A 14008-nucleotide genomic window follows, 5' to 3' on the forward strand; every position below is an offset into this window, starting at 1 on the left:
CTCAGTCAAGTGTGCTGAACACTCAAGAGATCTAAGTGGTACTCCACTGAGACTGTCTTGTACATGTCCAGTGATTGAATAGCTCAAGTCATCATTTCACAAGGGACTAACTCCTGCCTGTACACTCATTTTAGCTTTCATAAACACTTGAAGGAAACTAGTGTCTGCAGGAAATCCACGGGCTGCTCCTGTAGCTTTACATTGTTGGGACCCAGTAGAGTACCTGGCGGAGTGAGTCTTCCTTAAAGGGTTTTGGTGATGTCACTGAGTGTGTGTGCGCCACCACATGTTAATGGAAGTGCTGAACTTCATACTGGGTATTGGAAAGTAGATAGTAAATAAACTATATATTCCACTGTATGTCTCTAAGGCTTTTCTCATTTGCAGATGAGAACATTTATAATGTGATAATTTATCATATAATATAATTATTTTGGGGTAGAGACAGGGTCTCACTATGTTGCCCAGGCTGGTCTCGAACTCCTGGCCTCAAGCAATCCTCCCACCTCAGTCTTTCAAAGTGCTGGGATGGGTGTGAGGCACCGTGCCCCCATGCCTGGCTGTCTTTATTTTAAAATCTGATAGCCCATGTGTATTACCAAACTTTGGTTTCTTCTGAAGTACCAGTTATTTCATAAATAGAAATTTACTTAGACCACAGTTCTCAAACTTGTGGCCTGTGAGCTATAGAAGACTTACTATGGGCCTGCAGGCATGCTTTGTTTGACCCACCCAGCACCAACACTTAAAAACTAGAGTGATTTTTGGCTGGGCACGGTGGCTTACACCCGTAATCCCAGCACTTTGGGAGGCCGAGGTGGGCGGATCACTTGAACTCAGGAGTTCGAGACCAGCCTGGTCAACGTGGCAAAACCCCATCTCTGCTAAAAATACAAAAATTAGCTGGGTGTGGTGGCAGGTGCCTGTAATCCCAGCTACTCAGGAAGCTGAGGTGGGAGAATAGCTTGAACCTGGGAGGCAGAGGTTGCAGTGAGCCGAGATCGTGCCATTGCATTCAAGCCTGAGTGAAAAGAGCAAAACTTTGTCTCAAAAAACAAAAGAAACTAGAGTGATTTTGCATTAAAAAAAAGAGAGAGCAAGATTTCGGGCTGGGCATGGTGGCTAATGCCTGTAATCCCAGCACTTTGGGAGGCTGAGGCAGGTGGATCACTTGAGGTCAGGAGTTTGAGACCAGCCTGGCCAACATGGCAAAACCCCGTCTCTACTAAAAATACAAAAATTAGCTGGGCGTGGTGGCACATGTCTGTAATCCCAGCTACTCTGGAGGCTGAGGCAGGAGAATTGCTTAAACCCAGGAGGTGGAGGTTGCAGTGAGCCGGGATGGTGCCACTGCACTCCAGCCTGGGCAACAGAGCAAGCCTCCATCCCAAAAAAAGTTTCGGTCAGGCACTGTGGCTCATGCCTGTAATCCCAGCACTTTGGGAGGCCGAGGCAGGGAGATCACTTGAGGTCAGGATGAGACCAACCTGGCCAACATGGTGAAACCCTGCCTCCACTTAAAATACAAAAATGAGTCAGGTGTGGTGGCACGCACCTGTAATCCCAGCTACTCGAGAGGCTGAACCACGATAATTGCTTGAACCTGGGAGACAGAGGTTGCAGTGAGTGGAGATTGCATCATTGCACTCCAGCCTGGGCGACAAAGTGAGACTCTGTCTCAAAAGAAAAAAAAAGATTTCTGGTTTCCCTAGAAAAGATCTGGCCACACTGCTCCCACAGCCTGCACAGCGATAATCAGCAGGAGCTGAGTAGCTGCTGCGTTTTTGACATGAGGCATTCACACTCTCCGGGTTGTCTTCATTCCCGCCATCTTGCTATTGTTTTATACTGTTCTTTGGGATGCCTAATTGACAGTTTTTTACTTATCTTTTTGTAAATTGTGAGTCAGTCGCCTCTGGTTTTTATTTGAAATTTCTAATGGAAAGCTCTGGATTGAGAGTTAGGAGGTCTGAGTTGCCTGTAAGCCGATGCATGACCTTGGGCTGGGTTGGGCTTTCCTAGCATTTGATCTATAGGCTGTTTAAAGATCTTCCGTGGAAAAGAGATCATGGGCAGTTAAGTTTGGGGAATGCAGGATTAAATAAAGGTGAATTGGCTTCTTTACTGTAGGACTTCTCAGAACCTTTAACATGCTTATGTGCATTAACTCCTACAGGGTTTAGGGTGTGTTTCGTAAATGTCCTGAAGTTAGATCACTTCGTGCCCTCTTTCCATGGAACCAAATCACATTCTGTGCATCAAACGTCAGGAAATGTGGAGCTAGATAATTTCAGCAGTCCCTTCAAACCCTTAGACATTCAGAGCATCCATCTAACTGGATCTGGAAAAAGCTCACCATGTTATTTTGGTTCTTGTGCTTTCTTATGTTATGTCTGCTGTCTATTCATACTCCCTTCTCTCTCCTTTTCTGTGTAGTCTTTATTCTGATAACTTTATCTTAGAATCATCCCAATTGAAAATGTTCTGCATTTGGAGTTTTATTATAAAGATTTTGTTTGTTGGTTTTGGGTTTTCTTGAGACAAGGTCTTGTTACGTTGTCCAGGCTGGAATGCAGTGGCACGATCACAGCTCAGTGCAGCCTGGATCTCCTGGGCTCAAGGGATCCTTGCACCTCAGCCTCCCAAGTAGCTGGCATGCACCGCCACTCCCAGCCTACATTTTTATTCTAATACCAGATGGTTACAAATCACTTGCAAGACTGAGTAGTGTGATTGGAAGTAGTGATTTGATTTAGATTACTTACCATTAATTGAAGATCTGCTGAGTCCAAGGCCCCTTGCTGGATGCTGGGCCAGTGCAAAGATAAGTAAGACAAGTTTGTAAGTGGTTTTATCTTATTGCGGAATTCAGTCTTTACAACCATCAGGTAAGATAGGACCAGGGCTATTAATTCTCTCTCTCTCTTTTTTTTGTAAATTGAGACAGGATCTCTCTGTGTCACCCAGGCTGGAGCGCAGTGGCGCAGTCTCAGCTCACTGCAACCTCTGCTTCTCGGGCTCAAGCAATCCTCCTTCCTCAGCCTCCCCAGTAGCTGCCACCACACCCAGCTAATAAGGGCTATTAATTCTCATTTTATATTTGAAAATAATGAGCCAGAGGGAGATAAAGCAGTTTTCTCAGAGGTGCACATGGGTAATATATGCAGCAGTTCTTGGACCCATGCCCTCTGCATTTTAGGAAGGACTTGGTTCCTTAGCAGAGGTGGTTGGGTGGTTTTTCATCTCAATGAGGTGGCTGAAGCAGCAATCTTTTTTTTTTTTTTTTTTTCAGACGGAGTCTCGCTCTGTCACCCAGGCTGGAGTGCAGTGATGTGATCTCAGCTCACTGCAAGCTCAGCCTCCCAGGTTCACACCATTCTCCTGCTCAGCCTCCTGAGTAGCTGGGACTACAGGTGCCTGCCACCACACCTGGCTGATTTTTTGTATTTTTAGTGAAGACGGGGTTTCACCGTGCTAGCCAGAATGGTCTCAAACTCCTGACCTTGTGATCCACCTGCCTCGGCCTCCCAAAGTGCTAGGATTACAGGCGTGAGCCACTGCACCCGGCGTTTTTTGTTTTTTTTTTTTGTTTGTTTGTTTTTTTGAGATGGAGTCTCACTCTGTCACCAGGCTGGAAGGCAGTGGCATGATCTCGGCTCACTGCAACCTCCGCCTCCTGAGTTCAAGTGATTCTCCTGCCTCAGCCTCCCAAGTAGCTGGGACTGCAGGCGTGCACCATCACGCCTAGCTAATTTTTGTATTTTCTGTAGAGATGCGGTTTCACCATGTTGGCCATGATGGTCTCAATCTCCTGACCTCATGATTCACCTGCCTTGGCCTCCCAAAGTGCTGGGATTACAGGTGTGAGCCACCCAGCCCAGCCTGTCAGTCTTTAAACAGATCACTGGAGGATTGTTGGTGGAATTCGATGGAATGGAAGGGGAAAGCCAATGGGAGTGTCACATTTAGGGCCTTTGGTGGGAGTGACCCACCTGGAACAGTATTTCAGCATAGAGCCTCACCTGATCATCTTAGCATTCTGCCTACAAGTGGGCCTCTCCATACCCACTTTAAATGTAGCAGGTGTTTAATGAGCACCTTCTCTGTGCCAAGCATTTTGCTATGCATTAGGAAAGTTCTTTAACTTTTTCAGAACGTGGACCTTTTTGAGACTCTTGAAACTTTGAACCACTCCCTAGAAATATTTAAATAGTTTGGGATGTAATTTTGGGAAGTCATGAATTCTCTAAAACTAAACCCTGGGGCTCCTAATTAAGGACTCTTTGTCTTAAGGGTACCAAGATGATGGAGACAGATCCAGTCCTCAGCTCTCATAGTGGGGAGACAGTGTAACCAACATAACATACTCGGTGAGAGTATGCTATTTAGATGTAGTTTGTAAGGTGATCTGCTAACACAAATGTGGCAGTATTTAATTCTGCCTAAGCATAGGAGAGATGAGGTTGTCAGGAAAACCTCCCAAGAAGAGCTGCATCTTATTCAATTGTCATAGAATTCTTTATTTCAATTATTGCAAGTAAGCAGGGCAGGATCAGCCGGGGCCCCATCTCTGATGACAACAATAGTTCTCATTCATCGAGCCCATGTTGTGCTGGGTGCCAGGCAAGGATTCTTATATATGTTCTTTCATTTGATGGTCACAAAACTCCCGGGGAGTGGCATTGTGATGTGATTATTAAGAGACAAACTTGAGCTTCAGACAGTATGAGTTCAAGTTCTGGTTCTGCCACTTAACTAGTTTGGCTTTGGACAAGTTATTTAACTTCTTTCAGTCTTAGTTTTCTCATCTGTAATACAGAAATAGTTGATGATAGTAATAATTTTAAAAACAATATTGTTAGAAATTAGGAGGTTACCCTGGTTGGTGGGGTGGGTAGTGACTGAAGGGGGCATGAGGCAGACTTCTGGGGTCCTGGTGATGTTTCTTGATCTAGGTGCTAGTTACATAGGTATTTTAGTGTCCGAAAGTTCAGTGAGCTATAAACTTATGATCCATGTATTTTTCTGTGTCATTGTTCTGCAATAAGAGGTTAAAATAGCAAGCATTTCTGGTTCCTTACTGTGCACCCGGCATTGTTTCTAGTGCTTTACATTTGTTATCTTGTTATCCCTGTGGATACAATTCCAGGCAAACTGGTTCCAAGTCCCACGGTAAGGAGAATAGTAGCTACTTTAGAAGGTCACTGTGACAATTAAATGAGGGCACTGTCAGGCACTTAGTAGGCAGTATGTTTGATGCACTGTCTTCTTTGTAACATTAGGTAGTGGGATGCAGGACTGGGACCTGCCCCTGCGGCCCATGACTCCAAACCTGTCTTAGGAACTTGTTCTTTGCCACAGGGCTACTTCCCTGGCTGCATACTGTTTCCTCCCACTGTGGGGAGTAGAGTCTTGCAGTCCAACCTACCTTTCTCCCAGGCAGGACCTCTCTGGGTGGCTGTGCCGCGCAGGCTCTGGGGAAGCAAGTTGGGTCCCACACCCTCGATGCTGGTGTGAGCCTTCACCTCTGCTTGCTGTATCCATGCCAATCAACAGGATCCCTGTTGAGTAGCAGGGACACATATGTGGATGGCATTCAGGTGGCTTTGCCTGTTTCTAATTGGTATAGAGTTCTAGTAAGTATGAAGTTGTGGGGCTATGTGCAACTTTTTATTTGGATTTATAAGGTGACCTACTTTGGTTATGAAACTTGTCAGAGAATTTTAGTCTTGAAAATGTGTACTGGGAATAATTAATTGTCATGTTTTCTAACTTTAGTGATTTGTGTACCACCTTTATGATTTTTTCCGTATCATTGAACCTTCAATACATTATTTAATATTCTTAAATTTACATTATTTATTTATTTATTTATTTATTTTGAGATGGAGTCTCGCTCTTGTCCCCAGGCTGGAGTGCAATGGCTCGATCTCGGCTCATTGCAAGCTCCACCTCCTGGGTTCAAGCAATTCTTCTGCCTCAGCCTCCTGAGTAGCTGGGATTATTGGCATGCACCACTATGCCCAGCTAATTTTTGTATTTTTAGTAGAGACGGGGTTTCACCATGTTGGCCAGGCTGGTCTTGAACTCCTGAGCTCAAGTGATCCACCAGCCTTGGCCTCCCAAAGTGCTGGGATTACAGGCATGAACCCCTGCACCCAGCCAGATTTATTTTAAATATGTATGTATGTGTGTGTATATATATATATATATATATATATATATATTTTTTTTTTTTTTTTTTTTTTTAAGAGACAGGGTCTTGTACCTGCACAGGCTATGGTGTGGTGGCTTAACCATAGCTCACTGTAACTTTGAACTCCTGGGCTCAAGGGATCCTCCTGCCTCAGCCTCCCAAGAAGCTAAGGCTACAGGCTCACGCCACCACACTCAGCTAGGTTTTTTTGTTTTTGTTTTTGTAGAGATAAAGCCTCACTATGTTGCCCAGGCTGATGTCAAACTTTGGGCTCAAACGATCCTCCTACCCCAGCCTTCCAAGTGCTGGGATTACAGATATGAGCCACCACACCCGGCCTATTTAATTTTTTTTTTTTTTTTTTTTTTTTTTTTTTGCCTGTGACATACCCCCAAGGAGATCCTGAGAACACATGCCCCTAAAATGTTTTTTAAAAGGGAACTAAGTCAGTATCATAAGTGGAAAACTTTGTCATGCATAGAAGGTAATTGTGAGAACAATGGAACTTTAAAAACATTCATCCGTGTATCTCCCAAGATCACCTTGTGCATTTTTCTTGGGAAAACACTGGTTTAGTTTGCCTCTGCATTTTACAGGTGAAGACACCAAGGAGCAAGGCTCTTAAAGGTCTTGCCCAAGGTCACATGCGGGAAGAACTGGCTGGAAAATCAGGACTGTTGACTGATTCCTGGTCCAGTGCTCTCCTTCTCTGAGTTTCCACTAACTACTGGTAGTTAAGTGTCTGTGACGTTGATTTGTTTTTCATTTATCACTGTGCTTAAAATAGCATGGGTAGTGAGATAACCCATTTGCCTCCCCCTGAAAAGGGGGAAAATAACTTGTGTGGTAGAAAATTGGTAGCAGAGTCCTCTCAGGGTCACGCTTGCAGATAAGGAGGAGAGTGGCCTTGGTTTTGTGGACCATCCTGGCTTTTATCTCCTGGCCTACAGCATTATGAACTGAGGACTGTACCTCACTTCCCTTAAGTAACTACTGTTTAAAATGATCAATTATGTGAAGAATTGCTTGGGCTCTGTGCACTGGAAGTCAGGCTTTATTTAAGTCCTTGGGAACTGAGATATGTTTAAGAAAATATTAAGTGGAGGGAAGGGAGCAGCCAAGTGGTCAGAGAATTTTAGTCTTGAAAATGTGCACTGAGAATAATTAATTGAAAATAGGAAATTAATGTTTTCTAACTTTAATGATTTGTGTACCTCCTTTATGGTTTTTGCCATATCATTGAATCTTCGACATACCATTTACTTGGACTCCAGAGTCAGGCAGACCTGGGTTTGAATACTGTTTCTGCCACTTTTTATTTTTGTTTTTGTTTGTTTTTGTTTTTTTTTTGGTAAACTGAAAGCAAGTTTATTAAGAAAGGAATAAAATAGAGCAGGCTGTTTCTGCCGCTTATAAGATGGGTGACTTTGGGCAGGTCACTCCATGTCTGAGCCCCAGTTTTTATTGTCTTAAAATGGAAATAATAAGGCCGGGCACGGTGGCTCACGCCTGTAATCCCAGCATTTTGGGAGGCTGAGGTGGGCGGATCACGAGGGCAGGAGTTTGAGACCAGCCTGGCCAACATGGTGAAACCCCATTTCTACTAAAAATACAAAAATTATCCAGGCATGGTGGCGCATGCCTGTAACCCCAGCTACTCGGGAGGCTGAGGCAGGAGAATCTCTTGAATCCAGGAGGCAGAGGTTGCAGTGAGCCAAGAACCTCCTAGAGAATCATGGTGAGGAATAAATGAGATAGCATATTTAAAGTGGTTTTAGCAGAGTAGCACGCATTACAGTTTAATTCTATTAGGCATTTAAAATCATTTTTTGGAACAAGGTAGTATGTGGAAGAATGAAGGAGTATATTGCTTCTTTACAGAATAATGTAACATAGCCTACACCGTAGTATAAATGTAATTTATACATTGTAATGTTGAACTCATACCCAGCATTTGTTTAACCAGGGTTCAAATGCAGTTTCCTCACTTCAGAGCTGTATCCCAGCTGTTATTCTGTACTACTACTCTCATAGTGGAAATTTCCCAAATTGTAGGTAATGAAGTGAGCATGAATTAAGAAGAAACCTGAAAGGCTCAGTCACATTTTGGAAGAACACTTGTTGATTTAATCTAAATTAGGAATAGGAAGCTGTCGAAACAACTTTTATCATGGCGGCTTTGGAGGAAAAAATGACATGAAACTACTACATACGTTAGAAGGCTGGCCAAGGACTCAGGAATACAGTTTAGCTACTTTAGAAGGAAGAGAAAAGGGCCAGGCGCAGTGGCTTACGCCTGTAATCTCAGCACTTTGGGAGGCCGAAGCAGGTGGATCACCTGAGGTCAGGAGTTCGAGACCAGCCTGCCCAACATGGTGAAACTCCGTCTCTGCTAAAAATATAAAAATGAGCTAGGCATGGTGGCACATACCTGGAATCCCAGCTACTCAAGAGGCTGAGGCAGGAGAATTGCTTGAACCCAGGAGACGGAGGTTGCAGTGAGCCAAGATTGCGCCACCGCACTCCAGCCTGGGCAACAGAGCAAGACTCCATCTCAAAAATAAAATGAGGAAGGTAAAAGATCTGGAAGCCCAGAGGCATCATTTAAAGGGAACCGGGATAATTTCATATAGAGCTTGTCTTTTTGTTTTGTTTTGTTTTTGAGTCAAGAGTCTCACTCTGAGATGAGTGTGGCTGTGTTCTAACAAAACTCTAATTACAAAGGCAAGTGGTTCACCAGTGGTAGATTGCCAAGCCCTGGCCTAGGCTACAGTAATATCTCCTAAGGCTGAGTCTGGCTTAGACTATCTTTTCCTTCCTTCCTTCTTCCTATCTTGTCTCCTAGCAGTCAAGGGGATCTTGTTTGTTGTTTTCTGTTGTTGTTTTAAAGAGATGGGGTCTCGCTCCATCTTCCAGCTGGAGTTCAGTGGCTCGATCGTAGCTCACTGTAACCTCAAACCCCGGCTCAAGCAGTCCTCCTGCCTCAGCCTCCTGAGTAGCCGGGACTACAGGAATGCACCACCACGCACAGCTACTTTTTTATTTTTTGTAGAGATGGGGGTCTTGCTGTGTTGCCCAGGCTGGTCTAGAACTCCTGGCCTCAAGCAGTCATCCCGCTTTGACCTCCCAAAGTGCTGGAGTTACCTTTGCTAGCCACCATGCTTTTGGCTGGGGTGTTTTAGAAGCAGAAATCAGCATGTTACTCTCCTGCTTAAGACTTGCAGTAGCTGCCCATCAGCCTTCCTATAAAGTCCAAGCTCCTCACCATGACCTGAAAGGGTCCAGTGTGAACTACCCACCTTTGGAACATATCTAGTTCCTTCCATGCTGGCAAGATTGACTTCTTTTCCAGGCTCATACCTACCAAGCTTGCTCCTGCCTCAGGGTCTTTGTACAAGTTCCTCTGCCTAGAACATGCTTTCTCAATTTTTATGTAGCCAGCTCCTCATCATCACGTAGGACTCAGATGTCACTCCTCACAATGGCCTGCCCATTCACCCCATTTAAAGCAGCTTCCTAAGCACGCTCTGTGTGACATTATCTTCTCTTACTGTGGTAATGCTTATCACCTGCTGAAATGATCAGTTTATTGATTACCTGGTTTACCTTTAACTTCCCCCAGCTGCTGACTCTTAAGTGCCAGGCCTGGTAGTTCTCCTTCACCACAAAAGCTCCAGTGCCTCAAAAAGCCCATCACACAGTAGGTACTTAACATTTGTTGGGTGAATTGCCTTGTTTTACAACCCTAGTATTTGTGGTGTGTTCAAGTATTCCTCCGCCTTCAGGAATCTTATTATCTTTTCAAAAACTATGAAATATATGGTATTACCCTGGGGCATCATGCAGAGAGGAGGGAGGCTTGCCTCAACATCACAGAACTCGTAAATGTAAGGGATGATGTCTGCTGTTTAAATCCTGTATTTGGTTTTCAGTATCATGATTGTCTTTGGTTGTTTATTTGTTTCAGGTAATTTCTGTTGGTCCCAATAGGTGTGAGACTTCTGGGAACATTTGGACTAGCTCAGAACTACCACTGAAGACTTTGCTCTGGGGCACAGCTGTGCTAGCTGCCCCCAATAGACCCCTGTTTATTAACTTTAACTGAGGGACTAACATCAAGAGCAGTTGCTGTAAATATTCCTTTGGTTAAATGAAAGAGTTGCTTTATTATGAAGATCACATATAATTTCCTGCTGAGAACAAAGTAGATAAGTAAGAAGTTCTGCATACCATTTGTTTCTGGGGGGAAATTTTTAACAGCTATGTTCTGTCCTTTCACTGATAATAAATATTAAAAGTTGAAATAGCTCTTAGAGGTCATCTCCCTTTCTCTGCTGCAGGAATCCTTCTGAGATTGTCTGGACACTTCCAGTAAAGACAAGCTTATGTTACATCTCTTTAGATCACACATCAGTTTATAGACATTAAAGTTTATAGGATGGGTGTATTCCTAAAGAATTGTCAGGCTGGGTACCATGACTCACACCTTTGAGCCATGGGATTAGCCAAAGTGCTAATTCCAGCACTTTGCGAGACTGAGGCAGGAGGATTGCTTGAGCTCAGGAGTTCGAGACCAGCCTGGGCAACATATTGAGTCCTCATCTCTATTAAAAATTAAAAAAATAGGCCAGGCGCTGTGGCTCATGCTTGTAATCCCAGCACTTTGGGAGGCCGAGGCAGGCAGATCACCTGAGGTCAGGAGTTCGAGACCAGCCTGGCCAACGTGGTGAAATCCTGTCTCTACTAAAAATACAAAAATTAGCCGGGCGTGGTGGTGCATGCCTGTAATCCCAGCTACTCAGGAGGCTGAGGCAGGAGAATCGCTTGAACCCAGGAGGCAGAGGTTACAGTGAGCTGAGATCGTGCCATTGCACTCCAGCCTGGGCAACAAGAGCAAAACTCCATATCAAAAAAAATAATAAATTTTAAAAAATTTAGCTGGACGTGGTGGTGCGTACTTGTAGTCTCAGCTGCTTGGGAGGCTGAGGCGGGAGGATGACTTGAGCTTGGAAAATTGAGGGTACAGTGAACAATGATCACATCACTGCACTCCAGCCTGGATGACAGAGTGAGACCCGTTTGTCACATTTGAGCACATGAGGCCTTTCAAATATTCTTGGGGAATTTGTTGCATAAGCGAACCCTGTGAGAAAAGTTAAACTTTTTGAAGAAAGTTCTTCAATTGTTGGCTTGCTTTTTTTTTTTTTTTTTTCTTCTTAAGATGGGATGTGCCTATATATTAAGTGGTGACTTAAAAATACTAATTTGCGGCCGGGCGCAGTGGCTCACGCCTATAATCCCAGCACTTTGAGAGGCCAAGGGGGGCAGATCACCCGAGGTTGGGCGTTCGAGGCCAGCCTGACCAACATGGAGAAACCCTGTCTCTACTGAAAATACAAAATTAGCTGGGCGTGGTGGCGCATGCCTGTAATCCCAGCTACTTGGGAAGTCGAGACAGGAGAATCGCTTGAACCCGGGAGGCAAAGGTTGCGGTGAGCCAAGATCATGCCATTGCACTCCAGCCTGGGCAACAAGAGCGAAACTCCGTCTCAAAAAAAAAAAAAAAAAAAGGATACTAATTTTCTGGTAGAGACACATTTTTGAAAGTACTAAAGACAAGTTATTATTAAGACCAAAAGAAAACTCACTTAACAGTGAAAAGTATTTGTGCTCTTGCGGTGCTGCCTTCCATTAATCAAGGTCAGGGGAGAAATGGGATAATAGCCCTTTAAAGAGGACACTTGTCTTTCTCCCTCAGATAGAGCCATGGTTTGTTACTGAGTGTTTAAATCTGATTCTCTCTGTAGATTGCTGCTAAAATTGATTCAATTCCTCACTTGAATAATTCCACACCTCTAGTGGACCCCTCAGTATATGGATACGGAGTACAAAAACGGCCCTTGGATGATGGAGGTAAGTTGCCAGAAATATCTTTGCCTTTCAGGTGGTAGTGAACCTGCCAGTTAAGTTTGAATTTGTCAGCCATTACCTTAACGACTCTCTGAAGTGTCACTCTGTTGAGAAGAAAGGTTGAAGGGAAGTATTTAGGATGATTTTTCTCAGCAGTTCTTCAGCATTTGAGTTCCTATTTGCCTTGATAATACAGAAATCTTTTCGCTGGGCTCTGAGATAAAGACTTGGCCCCTGAGCATCAGCTTGGAAGTAATTTGACCTATTTGAGAATTTTGTTTGATTTAGCCTAACTCCCTTCTTCAGTGCGCATGGGAATTGAAGTTCCCACTTTCTCCACAGAAAAGCTACGATTTGGTGCATGGCTCTAGGGAAGCTGTGGCTACATCTTGACCTTAAAGAAAGAGAAGAATGGTGACCTTTCTGCAGTCTAGCTGCCAGCTTTTTCACCATTCCCATTTATGTCAGGCTTTTTCTAGAAGCATCCCTTTTCTTTAATTCGTTTATTTGTTGTTTTGTTGGCTGGTTTATATACCCTACTCCATCCCAAAAAGAATTTGAGAACACTTAGAAGTGCCAATCCCCAGCACTCTGGCAGAGTATCTATCAGATGTGTTTCTGTAGAGAGCTTGGACATCTTTATCATATTTTGTCTCCTGTTACTATAGAAGAGATAGTGAAGTACACTAGATTGACATGAATTTGCATGTAGTCGAGTGAGTCGGTGTCTTCTCTGTGTTCTTTTTCTGTCGCTATGTACCCAATCATTTATGTTTGTACATATTTCTGTGATGTATTATTATGTGAAAAATGAAGATGTAGAACAGTATGTATTATATAATCTTTTCTCCCAAAAGTGCATATTTTTATATACATAGAAAAATATAATTTGCCATGACTCATTTCTCTGGTCTCTAGGAATTCTTGTTTTTTTTTTTAATCCCTCCTTAGCGATGGGATCACACTCTGCTCAGGCTAGAGTGCAGTGGCGCCGTTGAACTCCTGGGCTCGAGTGATCCTCCCACCTCGGCTTCCCAAGTAGCTGGGACTACAGGCATGAGCCACCATGCCTCCTAGTACGTTTTTAAATCCTCCAGTTCATAGACTTGTTTGCAAATCTCAATGTCCTGAATAAACCCTATGTTAAGGTTCTTTTTAGTTAACTTAAGAGTTGAAGTATTTTATTTTATTTGTAATTTTTGTGAGTGCATAGGTGTATATATTTATGGGGTACATGAGATGTTTTGATGCAGGCCTGCAATGTGAAATAAGCACCTCGTGGAAAACGGGGGTATCCATCCCCTCAAGCATTTATCTTTTGAGTTACAAACAATCCAGTTACTCTCTTTATTTTAAAATGTACAATTAAGTTATTGTTGGCTATAGTCACCCTGTTGTGCTATCAAATAGTAGGTCTTATTCGTACCCATTAACCCCCCTCCCCCCTGAGTCCCCTTAGCCCCCTACTACCCTTCCCAGCCTCTGGTAACCATCCTTCTACTCTCTATGTCCATGAGTTCAACTGTTTTGATTTTTATATTGCATAAATAAGTGAGAACATGTAATTTTTGTCTTTCTCCGCCTGGCTTATTTCACTTAACATAATGATCTCCAGCTCCATCCATGTTGTTGCAAATGACTGGATCTCATTCTTTTTTATGGCTGAGTTGAAGTGTTTTTAAATAGACCCAAATAACACCTCCAAAAAGTTCTAGAGGACTGAACTTTAACCTCGTAAAGGTTAACCCTGCTTCAAGGGAAAGTTAGAAAGTTCATGTTGCTAAAGAAGTGATCTGGTAGCCTCTGTCAAAGAAAACCCAAGCCAAACCAAACAAACAGCTACACAGCCTTTGGAAATCTTTATTGCTAAGAAAAATGTGCCAGAATTCCGGCCGCTTGGTC

At 43.6% G+C, this 14008-nt stretch overlaps 1 protein-coding gene across 4 annotated transcripts in view, besides 1 other annotated feature; it reads left to right on the forward strand.

Moving 5' to 3' along the window:
- FUBP3 (far upstream element binding protein 3) overlaps positions 1–14008 on the forward strand; it is a 58776-nt gene that overhangs the window by 3903 nt on the left and 40865 nt on the right. For all 4 annotated transcript variants that reach the window (XR_007061369.1, NM_003934.2, XM_005272232.3 and 1 more), the window contains exon 2: positions 12004–12109. Coding sequence is in view for 3 of the 4 variants with exons in the window: in NM_003934.2 (NP_003925.1) it covers positions 12004–12109 (106 nt within the window). In the remaining variant the exon portion in view is untranslated. The remainder of the gene's footprint in view (positions 1–12003; positions 12110–14008) is intronic.
- Positions 5900–6400: an enhancer, noted in NCBI's record as "H3K27ac hESC enhancer chr9:133464766-133465266 (GRCh37/hg19 assembly coordinates)". NCBI's record gives its function as "activates a minimal SCP1, AML or CMV promoter by ChIP-STARR-seq in primed H9 embryonic stem cells {active_cell/tissue: H9 hESC(primed)}" and the evidence as "EXISTENCE:reporter gene assay evidence [ECO:0000049][PMID:30033119]".

Source organism: Homo sapiens, chromosome 9, assembly GCF_000001405.40.
Source record: "Homo sapiens chromosome 9, GRCh38.p14 Primary Assembly".
In the NCBI taxonomy this organism is placed as follows: Eukaryota; Metazoa; Chordata; class Mammalia; order Primates; family Hominidae; genus Homo; species Homo sapiens.